The 17501-nt window shown below is 51.6% G+C and overlaps 1 protein-coding gene across 9 annotated transcripts in view, besides 6 other annotated features; it reads right to left on the bottom strand.

Annotated features, from left to right (window-relative positions):
• SLC6A6 (solute carrier family 6 member 6) overlaps positions 1 to 17501 on the bottom strand; it is an 86774-nt gene that overhangs the window by 40168 nt on the left and 29105 nt on the right. For 3 of the 9 annotated variants that reach the window (XR_940495.4, XM_006713307.3, XM_047448763.1), the window contains exons 1-4: positions 16395 to 16766; positions 5319 to 5558; positions 3331 to 3465; positions 1366 to 1600 (exon numbers count right to left, since the gene is read on the bottom strand). Coding sequence is in view for 7 of the 9 variants with exons in the window: in XM_006713307.3 (XP_006713370.1) it covers positions 1366 to 1600; positions 3331 to 3465; positions 5319 to 5558; positions 16395 to 16470 (686 nt within the window). In the remaining 2 variants the exon portion in view is untranslated. Of the gene's footprint in view, positions 1 to 993; positions 1601 to 3330; positions 3466 to 4315; positions 4445 to 5318; positions 5559 to 16394; positions 16767 to 17501 lie in introns of those variants that run through there. The other 6 variants (NR_103507.3, NM_003043.6, XM_011534030.2 and 3 more) reach the window with 4 other exon arrangements.
• Positions 9285 to 9785: an enhancer, noted in NCBI's record as "H3K4me1 hESC enhancer chr3:14480905-14481405 (GRCh37/hg19 assembly coordinates)". NCBI's record gives its function as "activates a minimal SCP1, AML or CMV promoter by ChIP-STARR-seq in primed H9 embryonic stem cells {active_cell/tissue: H9 hESC(primed)}" and the evidence as "EXISTENCE:reporter gene assay evidence [ECO:0000049][PMID:30033119]".
• Positions 12760 to 13671: an enhancer, noted in NCBI's record as "H3K27ac-H3K4me1 hESC enhancer chr3:14477019-14477930 (GRCh37/hg19 assembly coordinates)". NCBI's record gives its function as "activates a minimal SCP1, AML or CMV promoter by ChIP-STARR-seq in primed H9 embryonic stem cells {active_cell/tissue: H9 hESC(primed)}" and the evidence as "EXISTENCE:reporter gene assay evidence [ECO:0000049][PMID:30033119]".
• Positions 13672 to 14583: an enhancer, noted in NCBI's record as "H3K27ac-H3K4me1 hESC enhancer chr3:14476107-14477018 (GRCh37/hg19 assembly coordinates)". NCBI's record gives its function as "activates a minimal SCP1, AML or CMV promoter by ChIP-STARR-seq in primed H9 embryonic stem cells {active_cell/tissue: H9 hESC(primed)}" and the evidence as "EXISTENCE:reporter gene assay evidence [ECO:0000049][PMID:30033119]".
• Positions 16408 to 17319: an enhancer, noted in NCBI's record as "H3K27ac-H3K4me1 hESC enhancer chr3:14473371-14474282 (GRCh37/hg19 assembly coordinates)". NCBI's record gives its function as "activates a minimal SCP1, AML or CMV promoter by ChIP-STARR-seq in primed H9 embryonic stem cells {active_cell/tissue: H9 hESC(primed)}" and the evidence as "EXISTENCE:reporter gene assay evidence [ECO:0000049][PMID:30033119]".
• Positions 16621 to 17030: an enhancer, noted in NCBI's record as "active region_19512". NCBI's record gives its function as "activates an Ori minimal core promoter by ATAC-STARR-seq in GM12878 lymphoblastoid cells {active_cell/tissue: GM12878}" and the evidence as "EXISTENCE:reporter gene assay evidence [ECO:0000049][PMID:35858748]".
• Positions 16627 to 16921: an enhancer, noted in NCBI's record as "tiled region #14405; HepG2 Activating DNase unmatched - State 5:Enh, and K562 Activating DNase unmatched - State 1:Tss". NCBI's record gives its function as "activates a minimal TATA promoter and a strong SV40 promoter by Sharpr-MPRA in HepG2 and K562 cells {active_cell/tissue: HepG2 | K562}" and the evidence as "EXISTENCE:reporter gene assay evidence [ECO:0000049][PMID:27701403]".

Here is a 17501-nt window from a genome sequence, read left to right as displayed (position 1 = left end):
GCAACCGACCCCTTCTTTGCCAACGATGTCCCAGCCCTGACCCCAAAGCATGGCTGGGGCCAGTCGGTAGGCCGCTCCCTCTTCTCTGGCCCATTCCTGGGCCAGCTCCTAAGAGGTGGGTAAACACCTTGAAAATGGCAAAACCACACACAAAAGACAGGGACTGTCATCTCGTGATGATTCAGAACCAGAACCACCCTCTTCCTTAACAGCACCCCTGCCCCTGGCTCACAACCTTCACTCAAGGCCTCATCTCAGTTATTTCCAGGGTCAAGGGGCTGCACTTGAGTGCTGAGCCCCAAGGCTGGCTTATGAAGAAGAGGGAAATGATGCAGTAGCCTATTTTTGATCAGCCTCTAAGCACTATGTTAGAAGAATGTCTCCACACATCAGCTCACTCAAGAGTTCCCCAAGATCAGGACTCCACATCCCACCTTTCTGATGTTTGTCCTCTGTATCCTCCCTGTAGTTACTGACTACAGTTCTTCACTCCTCTCATGAAGAGACAGAATTTATTTCCTCCACCTCTTGAATCTGGGTTTGTCTTGTGGCTTTCTTTGGCCAAAGGGACATGAACAAAAATGATACAGACAGAGGCTTGAAAAGCACTTGGGTTTCGGGGATTGACCGTTTCTTGTTCCTAGAGTGCTTGCTTAGTGGCCGGTGACAAGCCCAGGCTAGCCTGCTGGGTGATGAAACCACAGGGACCAGTTGCCCCTCACACCCCAGCCAATAGCCGGCCAAACCCCAGAAGAGCTACCCGGAGGACCTACAGTTGCCTGCAGACACGTGGAGGAGACCAAGACCAGAAGAACTGCCCAGCCAAGCTCAGCCCAAACTGCCAACAAGCAGAACAATCAAGAGCTAAATAAATTGTTGTTGTTTAAGGCCGCCAAGTCTGGGGATGGTTGTTACATAGCAAAAGCTAACTGATGCATCTTTTTCACTCTACCTACTCACTTTCCACTTAACTACTTCAGCTTCATATATGCATTTTTCTCTGTGCAATAACAGAATATATTTTTTCCTAAAATACATTAAGAAAACTGTATCATTTTTAGACAACATAAGTATGCATACCTGCCTCACAGGGTAGTAATGATTCATTCTTTTTATCTTACAGGTAAAGAAACTGAGGCTCAGAAAGGAGGAGTGGCTTGCCTAAGGTCAAACAGCCAGTAAGTGGCAGAACTGGGATTCCAGTCCTGTCTATGGCCAAAGGCATAAATTTATCTCCAGATCTGCACCCTCCTCCCACTCCCCCGAAGACAGTGGCTCCTGTATCCCAGGGGAGGAGATAAGGAAGTGGGCCATCCTCTCTGCCCCACCCATGTCCTCCTCCTTGCTTCAATGAGGTGGCCTTACTCCCAGAACTCGATGACAGGGGAGGTGAAGTTGGTGGAGCTGATGGTGATCCAGACACTCTTGTTCTTGCGCATGGTGTCCTCCATGCAGTGAGGTGTGTTCCAGCTGTGGTTGCAGTGTGCCCAGGGCAGCTCCTTCTGGAAGGACTGGAACAGGTAGTATGTGGCCCAGGCCAGGATGACGATGTAGTAGACATTCAGGAGGGACACAATTACAACGGAGGCATAGCCGATACCTGCAGGTTGGGCAAATGAGATGAGTAAACATCTGAGGGAGGCCAGACCCACCACGGCCACATACTCAACTGGAAGGCCATGGTATCCCCAGGCCCCAGGCCACAAGAGGCCTTTCAACAGTGACCACCAAATATTTATAGGGTGAATGGATGGCTGGTTGAATGGAAAGGTGAAACAACAGATGGTTAGATAAATGGGATGGATGGCAGGGGGCAGGGGGGATAGAACAATGGATGGATGGATAAATAGATGGATGGATGAAAAGATAGATAATAAAGAGGATGGTTGATTGGATGGTTGGATGGTTGGATGTTTGGATGGATGGATGGATGGATGGATGGATGGATGGATGGATGGATAGCTGAATAGATGAGATAAATAGATGGATGAATGAACAGATGGATAGTTGGATGATTGAATGAATGGCCAGATGAATGGATAAACAGCTAAATTGAAGAATGTTGGATTGATGGATAGATATCCATTTGTTGCATAGATAATCAGTTTGTTAGATGGATGTATGGATGGTGGTAGGTTAGAAGGTTGGGTAGATGAATGGAAGGATGAATAGATGGATAGATGGATGGAAAATGGATGGATAGTCTAATTACTGAGTGGTTTAATGGAAGAAAGGCTTAAGGATAAATGGATTTACGTGGATGACCGAATGAAGAGACTCACATATGCTCCCGTCTCTGCCAATTAAATCATAACAGTGATTATTTTGTGTGCATACTAAGTACTAAACATAGGACTAAGGAAGCTACCATTCATTTGATGCTGACTGTGTACAAAGCATTCTACGTGGCTATGTCATTTTGTCTTCATAGCAACCCTGTGAAGTAAACATACGACTATATTTCTATTTCATAGATGAGAAAATTGAAGTATAAAGTGACCTTCTCAAAGTCACAAAACTATCAAGGGGAGTTAATGAGACTTGAACCCAGACAGAAAGCCTCCTGAACCTGAATGTTTATCTGCTGCACTCTACTGCCAAGTAGCTACAGGCTTCTTTTTTCTTGTTTAGATTCAGGGGGTGCAGGTGCAGGTTTGTGACAGAAGAATATTGCATGAAACTGAGGTTTGCACTTCCATAGATTCCTGCCACCCAAGTAGTGAACACAGTATGCCATAGGTAGTCTTTCAGCCCTTGCTCCCCGCCCCTTGTGGAGTCCCCAGCGTCTGTTGCTCCCATCTTTATGTCCCTGTATACCCAAGGTTGAGTTTCCACCTATAAGCAAGAATACGTGGTATTTGTTTTTCTGTTTCTGCATCAATTCACTTAGGATAATGACCTTCAGCTGTATCCACGTTGCTGCAAAGGCCATACTGCTATTCTTTATGGCTGCATAGTCTTCCATGGTATATATGCACCACATTTTCTTTATCCAGTCCACCACCGATGGGCACCTAGGCTGATTCCATGTCTTTGCTACTGTGAACAGTGCAGCTGCAGGCTTCTCTATGCAACAACCTAGGGAAGTGGGCATGCTGGGCCTTACTGAGCAGCTACTGCGTGCTAGGCACTTGCCACATCTCCTTTCCCCGTACTCCTAAGCAGCAGCATCCGCATCACACTGGTACTGTACTGGCTGCTATCTTGTGTCAGCATAGAGCTAAGTGATGTGCATGAGGCTCCAATGGACCTGGCAGACAATAGGTGCTCAATAAAAATGTGTGGAACTGATGAGTGCCAGGCCCCAAGTGACCTCCGTCCCATACTCACCAGAGAACAAGGGGCAGATCTTTTCCCAGCAGGTGATGCCCCCTTCAGAGGTGTACTGGCCTATGATGATCTCCAAGAAAAACACAGGCAGGCCGCTCCCAAACAGGAAAATAAAATACGGTATGAGAAACGCACCTGCAGAGAGCAGAATGGGCAAAAGTGAGGCTGTGGCCATGGCAGCGCCGACGCAGAAGGCTCCCAAGCCCTCCCAGCCAATGGAACCAGAGAGAATGCATGAGGGGCATGAGGCTCAAGGCCAAACTCTTGGACCTGGTGGGAAATGCTCCAGGCCCTGCCCACCTGGCCAGCTGGTTTCACCTTTCCAGTGTGCCCTCCCTCTCACCTTCAAATCTACCAGGGACTTCAAGCCTCAGAGCCTTCTTTTTTTTCTTTCTTTCTTTCTTTCTTTTTTTCTTTTTTTTTTTTCTTTTGAGGTGGAGTCTTGCTCTGTCACCCAGGCTGAAATGCAGTGGCGTGATCTCGGCTCACTGCAAGCTCCGCCTCCTGGGTTCACACCATTCTCCTGCCTCAGCCTCCCGAGTAGCTGGGACTACAGGCGCCCGCCACCACGCCCGGCTAATTTTTTGTTTTTTAGTAGAGACAGGGTTTCACCATGTTAGTCAGGATGTTCTCAATCTCCTGACCTCGTGATCCGCCCGCCTTGGCCTCCCAAAGTGCTGGGATTACAGGCGTGAGCCACCGCGCCCGGCTGCCTCAGAGCCTTCATGTCAGCTGTGCCTACTGCCTGCCTGTCTCCTCCACATCCGTCCCCTGAACAAGGACGGCTTGGCCTCTTAAGACCCACTCACACGTCGCCTCTTTGTTGGGGCCTTCACCTACCCTCCCCAGGCCTGCCCAGGGCAGGAGGCAGAAAAGCACCAGCTAGGAAGGGTGAGGTGGTAAGGGGCAGAGGGTAGGCATCTCCGGTGGGGGCGGGACCAAGGGGAAGAATGGGGGGGCAAAGCATTGGGGCAGGGGATCCTACCTGGTGTCCACTAATGGCTTCAGCGGGTCCATAAACCCTTTGAAACTGTGGGCAACTTGGGTCTAGTGTATGTGCTTTGTTCTGGGGAGCGTCTAGGACACTCATCACAGTCCCAAAGGGGCCTGAGACCTACAAAAGGTTAAGAAACCAGGCTCTAAGGGAAAATTCCCCAAAAGGTGGTTCTACTAATGTGGGCAGCACAAGGCATGCCCATCTCTGCTGACACACAAGCCTTTGACAACAAGCAGTCACCAGCCGTGAGCAGTTCCTCCCTATCCGGTTCTCTTCAACCCCATCATGGCACCAGCAAGAAACCACCGTTAGGTGCTGCCTGACCTCAACACAACCCCGTAACAGAAGACCTGTCAGAGGGTTCCTGCTCGGAGCCTTCAGCAGGCAAAAACACAAAAACAAAAGCAAACCAAAATCCAAAAACCCAAACCAACCAACTCATCAACCCAACCAAGTGCAGTCACTACATTTAAAAAATATCTTCACTGTACTTTTTATTCCTGGATACCTTTGGAGCATGACAAATGATACCAGTTTTCCATCTACAGCGGGTAACAGAATTTGCTTTCTGGAGTACATTTGGTAAAGTTAGAAAAGCAAACATGAATATTAAAGGAAAGATAAAGAGTCAGAGGCAAGTAGATATGGCGGACAGATAAGGAGGTGTGTGAATGTCTGGGGCTTGGGAGACACAAGCCTGGCCTTGTCCTGCCTCTTTGGAGGTGGCAAACTGGAGGACCAGAGAGGCTGAGGGACCTGCTCAAGGTAACACAGAAAGGCCCTGCAGAACAGTACTCTGATTCTCAGTCGGGCTTATCCCCTGTCTCTAAGGGTGGGGTTGGCAGGAGCATGGCAGGCTGACCTCATGGAGGTCAAGGGGGGGGGCCAGGGAAAGCAGGGAAAGAGAGGCCACCCACGCTCTGGTCCCAGCCTCCAGCTCTAAGGCGGCTTTGTACTGGATGGGCTCCCCTGTGGCCCGGCCCAAGCTCACCTCCACCATTCTTGTAGCAGAGGTACGGGAAGCGCCAGACGTTGCCCAAGCCCACGAAGCCGCCAGCCACAGAGAGCACAAAGTCGATCTTGCTAGACCACTTCTCCCTCTGCGGAGGTTTTCCCTCAGCCTCGTCCTCAGGCCGCGTGCCTGGGCTCTTCCCTGGTGAGGGCTTCAGGATGTCCTTGTGGAAATCTTTCAGACACTGCAGCTTCTCCTTGGTGGCCATCTCCTTGCTTTCTATGGGGGACAAAAGAGAAGCATCCTGCAGCTGATGAGGGACCACCTGTATGTCTCAGACACAATCTCTGCTTCCTCATCCACGAGCCGGCTCCCACCTGCCCGGGCCTGTGGCAAGGGGCCTGGCATCCCTGTCTGTCCAATGCTTTGACAGCAACATCAGGAGTCATTCAGACCCCTTCATGGACCAGGGACCTCAAGATTCAGGCTGTGGACACTTGCAACCCACAGAATCGGCAGGTCCATTCCCCGGGCACCTGCTGAAGAGAAGCACCAGAGGCCCCCAGGTTTGTCGTCTGGGTGTCACACTTCAGCCTGCACCCCAGCCCTAGCATCGTCTTTCACAAAACACAACACACCCAGGCAGTTCTAGGCATCTGCCAAATAACAGCCTGCAAGCAGTTTCTAGAAATTAACAGATACTATTTTCTAAATTTGGATTTGTATTTAAAAAAATGGAGGCTCCTCTTTTGCAAATGCCTTAATACAGTGCCCAGCCCACAGGGATGACCATTTATAACTGTAAGTTAAAAAAACAGATAGACGGAAACGAACGAGGAATGGGGTTTCAGGCTGGAATGGAAACAATATTTGAGATGGGTTGCCATCCAAGTATAGAGAATGGATGTTTATGAAATAGATGTGCAATTTATTAACCAGTCACATCTCTAGCAGAAAAAAATAAGGGATTTGCACTGGTGAGGATTATGCAAGTGTGCTTGTTCATCCCCATTTGTCCACCCTTCTCTAACCATCCTCTGGCTTGCTGTGATTCCAGGGGCTGACCCTGTAGATCCTATAAGCCAGGTTCCCTTGCCCTCCGGCTCCCTGTTGGGTTTGGCCAACGGGAGGCCCCAGAGAAGGTCAAATCTCTAAGCCCCCGGAGCTGTTCATGGTTACCCTCAGCCCACTTATGCTTGGCTCCCAGTCTAGAGGGAGGTCTGCCACCAGCCAGGCCAGAGCCTCTTCTTTCTGTACTTCCTAAGGTCCCCAAGTGCTCACTCACCCTGTCAGCTCGACCCTGAGGGCCACAGTCACACCCAGTGTGGCCGTCTGTGCAGAAGGTGGATACCCCTGGCTCTCTGAGAACTGACAAGGGTTACCAAGAGCATCCTGATTTCTAGCCCACAGCGTGAGGAAACAGCTCAAGGCTGGGTCCCCTGCCTTCAAGGGCTGACCCACAACATAACAGAGGGACACAGAAAACGGATGAGCTGGGAAAACCAGAGCTACTAGGCCTACTCGCCCCTCTCTGAGCATCAGTTTCCCCATCTGCAGAATAAAAAGGATGACAGCAGAAGTGGCTGACTCAGAGCCAAGCAGTCTGGGACACAACTTGTTTGTCTTCATGATCAAACTGGTGGCCAACACTGAAATAATCAGATTTCAGAGAAAAGTCAAGAATTCTGAGTTCTCTTGAAAAATTGGAAGGTTGGACCACAGTGAGCTCATACTCCTCATGGCGATTGCTGACTGGAGCAGATGTGACCACCTTGTCACGTGACCCTTGTCACACGACCACACCCTGGCCAGCTCACCACCCAGCTCAGGACACACTCGCTTGGCTGGCTCCAGTGGGCATCTGAGTTTGTCTTCTCATCAGAGAACCAAACACTACCTGAAAGTATCTTGTTCAATTCCTCGCTTCCCTGTCGTCTATCTCCTCAACTAGAATAGAGGCTCCTGGGGACAAGGACCACACCTGCCTTGCTCACAACTGTGTCCCAGAGCCAGGCGCCATGCCTGGCACACAGTAGGGTGTCAGGCAAGAGCTGCTGGGTTAGGTGGATCCCAGAGTGGCATCCACAGGCAGCTGGTGACAACTGCAAACCCTGGCTTTGCCAATCCTGTGACCAGGCGAGTCACTTGGCCTCAGGGCCTTGCAGGCAGGGTGAGGCAGTAGCTGCCTGAGGACTTGGGGTGTGGAGAGGGGATGTGCTGGCTTGGCCCCAGCTGCTGGGCCCACAGGGGCTGTGCTCGAGGAACAGAGGCACAAAAGCACAACAAAACCCCCGTTTCCCCCACACCTCCTTCCTCTCCCTGGCTCGGGGTGGGGGACCCCAATTGTTTCACTATCTGGCGGCCAGCAGACCAAGAAAGGCTTCCTGAAGCCTCTGGGCAGCTCATGGAGCCCTTCCTCTGTCTGCCAGAGCATCCGCGCCGCCTTTCTCTGCCCTGCTCCCTCGGGGCCGGGCGCGGGATTCGACAGGCCAATGGCTACTGTAAAAATAGTCCTAGCAGCCAGCATTGTTCCAGCATTGACTTGCACAGCCCCCCGATGGTTATCAGGGCAGCCCATTGTGGGCTGGCTCGGTGGGCGCATAATTGGAGGATGTGAGACTCAACTCCCTCCGAGTGAAGGTGTTTCTCAGGAAATGACCCTGGAGCCTCCTCACCCAGAAGCTCATGACCTCATTGGCAGCTGGGATGGGCCAAGTCCATCCCCGCTAGGAGCTGGGGTCTGCTTCACTGCGGCTACCCTGAGAGTCCCGGCTCTGCCCTCTGGGCACACAGACCCACTTGCCACACTAATATTCGAGAACCCTCTAGAAACATGGAGGAGGAGCAACTGGGGTTCCCCAAGTCCCTTTGCTCTAGGCTCTGATTTCCTACAAAATGAAGCCTCCACCCCCTTCCACACTCAGGACCCCATCGTCCCACCACCTGGGGCTGAGCCAGGATGGGGGTGGGGGTTTTCAACAGGGCAGAGTGGGGACCTGTCACGTGCCTGGCATGGTGGGGGTCTCCCAACTCCTCATTTCTAAGGTGCACCCACCTCTCCACCTGTGGGGGCTGCAGTCACAGGTCCACCTGCCTTGAAGAACACACAGCCAGCAGCCCTGCCCCTGAAGAAGCCCATTCCAGCAAGACCCGCCTGTACATTCCTGGCATCCACCCACAGCTCTCTATCGCCATGGCAACCACGAGCTACAGGCCCCTCAGCCCTTGCACTGGCATCTGTGGCAGCCTCCTCACAGGTCTCCCTGCTGCTACTCTGCCCGCCCCTGATCTATTCTCAATGCAGCAGCTGAAGGCAGATTAAAAAGCAGAATCAGGTCCTCATGCCCCCGCCCAACCCTTTGCTCACCCCTAGAAGAAAACACAGGCTCCTCACCATTGCCCACCAGGTCCCAGCACATGCCCCTGCCGACCCTCTGGCCCCATCTTCCCTCTCCCCTTCTCCTTGGGACACGGGCCACACAGAACTGCTTTAGTCCCTCCTACTGCTCAGGCTCAGTCCCCTCTGAACCTTCCCCACTGGCTGTTGGAGCCGCAGTATAAAAAGCCCCCTGGCTCCCTGCCAGCTGCCCCAGGCACCCTGGCCCCTACAGGGACCAGAATATAAGCCTCAACCCAGAAGCTGAAAGTCACTTCCCCAAACAGGTGACCTAAGGCAAGTCACTCAACCCCACTAGTCTTCAGTGTCCTCATCTGTAAAATGGGGTAACTGTACCTTCCCTGTGGGAGTGTTGTGAGGGTTAAATGAGGGGGGGTGCACAGGAGGTGCTTAGAACAAGATGTGGCACACACTCCATGCACAGCAACTACATTATGACTTGAGACTATCTCCTCTTACTACCGCTATCACTACTATCCAGTCCACCCCTGGCCTTGGGGTATATAAAGCCTTCATCCTCCCCAGGGTGAGATCAATAAGGCCCAGAGATGACAAGAGACGCCCTGAGGTCACTCCGCTGGGAGTAACAGTGACCGTGATGTATCCAAACCCTTAGGAGCTTAGCCTCCACTGTCCCTCTGCGGCTCAGTCTGACCTCAGAGGACACCCTCCAGGGAGTCCCCGGAGTATCTCTGTGCACCTCTGCAAACTTGCAATTAGGCCAGTCACCCCAGCTTCCTCACACACACACAAGTGGTCACCCCGCTGCGCAGTGAGTACTCAGGAGCGAGTCCTCCTCCACAGGCGTCCCTGCACCCGCCGACAAGGGCTGTTTTCCTTGGCACTGGGCCCAGGGTTATTTTGCAGCAGCCGAGATACATAATTCCCCATTTTAAGAGCTTCCTCTTTGGTTATTACAGCTACAAGTGATTAGAATTGACTGATACAGAGGCTATGGGATGAAGCCTCTCCCTGTGCCCAGCTAAACATTCTCCTTGTCTCTGTGTTCCAGAGGTGACAGCCAGAGCCAGCTGTGCCTGAAACCAACTGCAGATCACCTGGTCAGATTTGACACACACGCAGGCAGGTGCAGCCCCGTGCCAGCGATGCCATGGCTTGCCACAATATCCCTTTGCTGTCTCCCTGTTTAATATTAAGATTTGTGAGGACTTATTCTGGGGGCTGAGCTGTTTATGAACACAGTTTCCTATTCTCCAACACTCCTATTGTGGAAGAGACTTTGGTAGTTTATAGATAAAGGAAGCTGAGGCTCACGCAGGGAAGCGAGCAGCCTGGCTGAGGCTACACACACGGGTGGAAAGGAGAGAGAGGCTCAAGGCCAGAGTTCCCACCTGGCCACCTGGGCCTCCGGCACCGAGCAAAGCTTAGAAAGAGGTCTCTGCACTGCTTGCAAATGGGGACCCCTATATCTTGCTCTGCATCCCTCCCGGTGCCCTGAGCACCAGCCAGCTGGGCTTTGAGTTGAGTTGCAGATGCTGCCTCCCCCAGCATCTACCACCTCAGTCCAAGGCTCTGGGGAAAGTCAAGCCCTTGCCTCTATTTTTCCTGGGCAACCTTCCCAGAGGCTCGAGAGTTCTCTGCACCTGCCCTGCCGTCCTGCAGACCCTGCACTTCTCAATTTAACAACCAGTGTCCTACATGTCTCTTTCTGGTGGAGAACAATGATTTAAATCTCATATTGTCAATGGCATAACCACTCAGGAGCTTCTGCCATGCTTTTAGGAAGAGGCCAGGTCCTTGTCTGTTTCCTATTTTGCCTGCTTCTCCCATCCCAAACTGCCTAGCACATACCTGGCCTTTAAGAAGGATCTCTGGGCCAGGTTTCTCAGCAAACCTCTTGGTTAAGCAAACTGATCAGCGGGTTGGGCAAGCAGCTCCTAGAGTCCCAGAACAGGGGCAAGAAGAGACCTGGATGACATCCATTCTACAGGTGGGGAAAACTGAGGCCTAAACAACTCCCTGCCCACTAGGCTTGCTGTGGAATCAAGTGCCTGGCTGGACCCCTTGCCCCGCCCTTTCCACAGCAGGCATCTCTCTCCTTTCCTCACTTTTCTGCCCATTCCAGAGCCAGATTCTGGGCTGAGGCCATGACTAAGCTGTGTGACCCAGAGCAAGTAACAACCTCTCTGTGCCTCCGCTTCCTCACTGGTAAAAAATGAGGGTAAAAACAAGACCAGGGACTAAGCAGGATGCTGCCTAATGTTATTCAGCACACAGCCCAGCACATACCAATTGATCAATAAATAGTAGCTTTAAAAAAAAAAAACAGCCACATTGCAATTCTATTATACTTTGTGGCAACCATTCTACCCTGTGTTTGTTTTAAAAAAAGAAAAAGTGGGCCAGGCGTGGTGGCTCACGCCTGTAATTCCAGCACTTTGGGAGGCCGAGGTGGGCAGATCACTTGAGGTCAGGAGTTCAAGACCAGCCTGGCCAACATGGTAAAACCCCATCTCTACTAAAAATACAAAAAAAAAAAAAAAAAAAAAATTAGCCAGATGATGTGATGCACTCCTGTAATCCCAGCTACTCAAGAAGCTACGGCAGAAGAATCGCTGGAATCCGGGAGGCGGACACTGCAGTGAGCCAAGATCGCACCACTGCAGTCTAGCCTGGGCGACAGAGCAAGACTCCATCTCAAAAAAATAAAATAAATAAAATAAAATAAAATAATAAATAAATAAATAAATAAGAAAAAGTGGATGGTTAGAGGTATTGGGGAATTGCTGGTCAAAAACCACAAAATTTCAGTTATGTACGAGGAGTAAGTTTGATAGATCTATTATGTATGTCATGGTGTCATGCTGATTAAAATTAATAACATATTGTATACTTGAAAACTGTTGAGAGTAGATTTTAAGCGTTCTCACTACACACAAAAAATGCTTAGGAAGCGAGGTGATACGTAAGTTAATTGGCTTGATCCAGTCATTCTACAACATACGCAGATGTGAAACATCATGTTATACACCATAAATATATACAATTTTTATTTATCAATTTTAAAACTTCCAGCCTGGGCAATATGGCAAAACCCCATCTTTACAAAAACTACAAAAATTAGCTGGATGTGGTGGCACATGCCTGTAGTCCCAGCTACTCGGGAGGCTGAGGTGGGAGGGTCACTTGAGCCTTGGAGGTCAAGGCTGCAGTGAGCCATGATTGCCCCACTGCACTCCAGCCTGGGTGACAGAGCGAGACCCTGTCTCCAAAAAAAAACAAAAAAAGTTACTTTTAAGAAAAAGATAGCTGTGTTTATTAAGCACTGACCATATACACAAGCAGAATATGCATCTTTTTAAAAAGAGCACTGACTACAAGCACATTTTCATTTTCTTAGCTAATCCCCTCAGTGGGTGCTGCTCCCATCCTTCCTGTGCTGATAAAGCACAGAGATGTGAAGTCACTTGTCCACAGTCACACATGAGGAAAAGGCCACTTAAGCTCCAAATGCCCCCCAGGTCTGTCTTGGCCTCTGAAGTCCATGTTCTCAACTACTGTAGCTGCTATGGATCAAATGAAATGGGGTCTGGTGTCTTTAAGGAGCCAGCTGCAAGCCGGCTGACAAACTGGGGAACTAGGCAAAGGCAAACAGGGAAGTGAAGGGCCACATGATGGAGACGGGGCTCAGGAGGCTGGACAGGGCCTGGGGAGCAGTCAGTGCCAAGGGCCACAGGGCTGGGCCAGGCCAGCTAATGAAACAGCACAGACTCAGGCAGGACAGATGGCGTGCTGGACTGGAGCCCTCCTCTAGCAAACAGGGAACTCTGATGGGGCTCCCTGGACCACTGTCTCCATAGATTCTGGGCTAGGTACAGGCTCAGTGAGCAGGATGGCCAGGATCTATTAGTGATGCCTGCCAAGGGCACTCTCCTTGGCCCTAGTGTTTAACAATTAAGCACCAAAAAAAAAAAAAAAAAAAAAAAAAAAAAAAAAAAAAAAAAAAAAAAAAAGGGAGTTGTTGTTAAGAGTGCTATTCCTGGGTGGGCGTGGTGGCTCACACCTTTAATCCCAACACTCTGGAAGGCTGAAGTGAAAGGGTGGCTTGAGGCCAGGAGTTCCAGATAAGCCTGGGCAACACATTTGGACCCTGTCTGTACAAAAAGTTAAAAAAAAATTAGCCAGGTGTGGTCACGTGCGCCTGCAGTCCCAGCTACTCAGGAGGCTGCGGTAGGAGGATCACTTGCACCCGGGAGTTGGAGGCTGCAGTGAGTTGTGATCATGCCACCTCACTCCAGGCTGGGTGACAGAGCAAGACCCTGTTTCTAAAAAGATGAAAAAATAATAATAATAAAGTAGAAGCTCTTTCCATCACTCTAAGTGGAGTAGCTGTTTTAAGTGGAAATTAATCAAAGCCTTTCTTTTTCTCTTTTATATATATTTTAAAAGTACACCTTTAAGAGATTGAATCATTGAATTGTATCATGAGGTCTGTATCTGTTGGTTATCTGCTCCCAAGGAAAGGCTAACTCAAGCGTGGCGAGCTCCAAAGCCTCCAGAGGCCTGGTGGGCAAAGGACAGGAGTCCACTGGGGTGGGGAGGTCGCAGGGAAGAGTGGGAACCAGGGGACAGGAGGAGTCTGGACTCTCACAGGCAGCTCTCCTTAGCTCCCACTACTGCAGGTGCCTTCGGGACTGGTGCCCACTGGGGCTGGATCCTCCAGCTTCTCAAGAGATGTTGAAATCTGGTTTATATGCACACACACATTTTTCAGTTTCTAAACCACCACCTGGGTCAAACACAAACACAGAGGGGGCCAGACTCAGCCTGTGGCCAGTCTGCTCTCTTTGGTCACACTATTGCCCCCAGGTCACCTAAGGTGGCCGTGGCAAAGGGAAGAATGGGCTCGTGCGGAGATGCTGACCAGGCTGGCCTACAGCCCTGATGGCTTGTCCCGGTGAGGTCATCCAGGAAGCCAGGCATTGTTTTGCCCGGAACAAAGCCGAAACAATGAGCAAAAATATTCTGGTCGTAGTGAAAGTGAATTCTGTTGAGGAAATCGTTTCAGCATGCCGTCTCTGGGACAGGGGCTTGTTATCTACCTGGGGTTCAGCATCCTCGGGTGAGGTCCTCCCCTCTCCTGATTTAACTGCAACCTCCACCCCACCAAAGTACGGGTCTACCCTCAGAGACCCCCGACCTCCGCTAGAAGCCTCCTGCCTGGATCACACTAAGCCCTGCAGAAAAGCCTCTACCTCACCCCCGGCCTCATCAGCCTTGCCTTTCACAGATCAGGAGACTGAGGCTCAGAGAAGGGGGAAGCCTTATCCCAGGTCCCACAGCTACAGGACAGTGGGCCAGGATTTGCACCCACGTCCCAACTCCATGACCTTGGTGCCACCCTGGGGCAAGGTGACCTCTGGATGGGGACCAGCCAGACCACGTAGTTCTTCTTAGTCTGTGGTTTGCTGGGGAAGAGTGGATGACAGTGAGCAGGTTTTGCAAAGAACAAGCCTCTGGAACAACGCCGGGGGTGGCGAGACACGGTATGAGTCTAATAGACAGCCAACTTGTCACCTTCCCCTCATAAAAACATTGGCAGGTGAACATAAGGTCTGGGGACTGGGTCCAAACTGTTTTATCATCTCCTTGGAAGTGGCAGGACCTGGCCCAAAGCCCCAGAGAACCACAGTCTGGCAGCAGAGGAGAGGCAGCAAGGAGAGTGCCACCGTGCCAGTTGCAGGGGGAGGGGTGGAGGCACGGCAGGCTCCCGGTGGCAGGATGGCCTGAGAAGGGCCAGGATGAGGCAGGGTGGCTGGCGCTGCCCCAGATGAAGGTGTTTGAGGCACACACCATACTCCAAACGGAGGTGCCCCACAGCAGAGCCCAAGCAGCTAAGTCGGGGAAAGGGCAGTGGGCGAGGTCAGAAAGCTGGGTCATGCAGGCCAAGTCACTTCCCCTCTGCATCTCAGAGGTCCAGGGTTAGAACAAAGGTTTGAGTGGCTTTGGCAAGCAGTGGCTGTTAACTCACCCTACTATGTGCCAGGCACTGCTCTAGGAACTGGAGACAGTGGGTGAGCCCTACCAAGCTGACCTGCAGAAGGGGAGATAGACACTAAACACATAAATGAGCAATTATTTATGACAGTGCCCAGCACACAGAAAACAACAAAGTAGGCCCCTCTGCGGAGGTGACATTTCATAACAACAGCAGCTCGCTGAGGACTCACTGTGGGCAGGCCCTGTGCCAAGCCCTTTCCAGACACCAACTCACTCACTTACTCCTCACCAGCCCGGATGATGGAAAGAGGCCCAGAGAAGTAAAGCCACTTGCCCAGGGTCATACAGCTGGATTCAAACCCAGAAGCTCGGCTCTAGGGAACAAGCTTTTAGCCACACTGAAGCTGAGGCAAAGAACTGGGGGCAAAGAACTGGGGGAACACTGTTCTAAGAGCAGAGAACAGCAGGTGTAAAGAGGGCCATGGTGCACATAGTGAAGAAACAGAAAGCCAGAGTGTGGCAGAGAGGAAGAGGGGACGGGGCCCCCAAGGCCAGAGTTAGAACCTGGATTTATCCCAAGTTTTGTGCTGCCCCAGTGAGGGCTCAACGCTTTTGGCTAAAAGCCCTGGATTGTCCCTGACCACCAACCCTTCCCTTCTACTCTGAAAGGGAACTTAAGGGCCCATGTTGGGTTTTTCCCTGCAGGTACTTATGACTTTTTTTTTTTTTTTTTTTTTTTTTTGAGACAGAGTCTAGCTCTGTTGCCCAAGCTGGAGTGCAGGGTGCGATCTCAGCTCTCTGCAACCTCCGCCACCTGGGTCCAAGAGATTCTCGTTTCTCAGCCTCCTGAATAGCTGGGATTACAGGTGCCTGCCACCACGCCCAGCTAATTATTTAGTATTTTTAGTAGAGATGGGGTTTCACCATGTTGGCCAGGCTAGTCTCAAACTCCTGACCTCAAGTGATCCACCTGCCTTGGCCTCCCAAAGTGCTGAGATTATAGATGGGAGCTACCGTGCTCAGCTAACACTTTCTGGTGGGGCCTGTAGAGTCGTTAACCCCACACCTCGGCCGCCTGGGTTCCTCACCATGAGCTGAGAACCTGCGGGGTGGGTGGCCAGAATGTCTTCCCCTTGACCAAGGACCTAACACCTAAGACTGGTGGCACAAACACAACATCCTTGTGCAGGAAGCCCAAACCCTGCCGGCTCCATGGGTGAAGCCATGCTTTGAAAGGAACAGGGTCACCCTTTGCTGTAATGTGCTCTTGGGAAGTCATCTGCCCACTCTGCTCTGAGCAGGCACTCGCTTACCTGGGGCAATTCTCTCTGGGGGAGGTGGCGGGAGGGAACAAAAGCTCTGGCTGACTGAGCACCTGCTACACACCTGGCCCAGGGCCATCACAGGGGTACTGGGTCACCGTCCCACCTTCACAGCACTAACGTCCCACCTTCACAGCACTAACGACTAGAGAAGGAGGGAGGGGCTCGTTTTGTTAAAGAAACAAAAATTATTCTACAAGTTCAGAGGAAGGACAAGGTTCCGTGTCTGGTCAAGGGTAGGCTTCAAAGACGTCTCTGGTCAAAGAGTCCCTGAGAGCTGGGCCTGACAGCCTGGACACACAGAGGAAGGTCAAGTCTCTGGGATGCTGTCTGAGGGGACCCTGGACACCACTCAGTAGACTTCCAGGGCACTTGGTACCCACAGCTGGGCTGGAGGAGAAAGAGGAGCTTGGGGAGGGCCACCAAAATGCCTACCTTGGGTACTTGGAGGCCTGTTTCCACAGCCAGAGGCAGGGCCGAGAGCAGCCCCATCTGCAGATTCTGCACACATCGGGGCTTCTCCTGACCTGGGGAGTCGCGCACTGTTGGACTTGCTCTTAAGGCTGGGGTTTTGGGGTTGTTTTCCTGTTGCTATGTGTTTAGGCCAATAACAGCACAACGGTCACACTGCCTGCAGCTCTGCTCCAGGGTGCAGGGGCTGGGTGAAGGGTCAGAGGGAGCCAAGCCCCTTTTCCATCTCCTTCCCCCATGGCCCAGGGCTGGCTGGAGTCAGGCTGCTGTAGGGGCCCCTGGAGCCTGCGGAAGGAGTGGGTGAGTCAGCAGGCAGCCACCTCCTGGCACTGACTCACCAGCGACAGGACAGGGCTGTCACTCTTGCTGTCAGCTTCGCTAGCAGCCCAGCCCTCAGCCTGGTTTTGCCGGAAATGGGGGCGGGGTAGGGTAGACCATGAGCCTGAAACAGGCTCTGCAGAGCCCAGGATTATTTCTGGAGGCCACAAAAAAGAAACTCAAGAAAAGAGAAAGGTTGGTTGCCATTTCCTTGACCTTCTCCTTTTAAGCTGTAAGAAGCCTAAAGCCCTGCTCCTTGTTGGCTATGAAAAGCAGAGGGCAGCCCCTCCCTTGCTCTATAGAAACTGGAAGGATACAGGCCCCAGTGACAGAGTCAGCTAAGGGTGCACGTGCAGGAGCCGGGCCAGCCCCAACTCTGTCACTGTGGCTCTGCCGGATGCCACAGTGCCATGGAAACCAGTCAGGGCGCTCTGCTGTACAGCCTTGGGCAAGTCACCTTCTCTCTTCAGCCTCAGTGTTACCCTCTCTAAAGTAGGCACAATATCCCATCTACAGTATGTGAAACTCCTACCTCATTAAATGTTTGCAAACAACCTCCCCCTCCTTGTTCCTCTTTTAAACATGTTTTTCCCCCTGACGAGGATGTACTTTCTTCTTCCTTCCTACCTCCGCCCCACCTCACTCGGACTCAGAAATTCAGCTCGACCAGAGTGTGGTGCTAGAGGAACCAAACAGCCTGGGATTTAGCAAGACAGGGTGGGGAACTAGCACTGTCGGTCACCGGTGCCCACT

The sequence above is a fragment of the Homo sapiens genome, chromosome 3, assembly GCF_000001405.40.
Source record: "Homo sapiens chromosome 3, GRCh38.p14 Primary Assembly".
NCBI lineage: Eukaryota > Metazoa > Chordata > Mammalia > Primates > Hominidae > Homo > Homo sapiens.
Note: the sequence above shows the minus strand (reverse complement) of the source record. Positions and strands in the feature narration are given on the sequence as shown.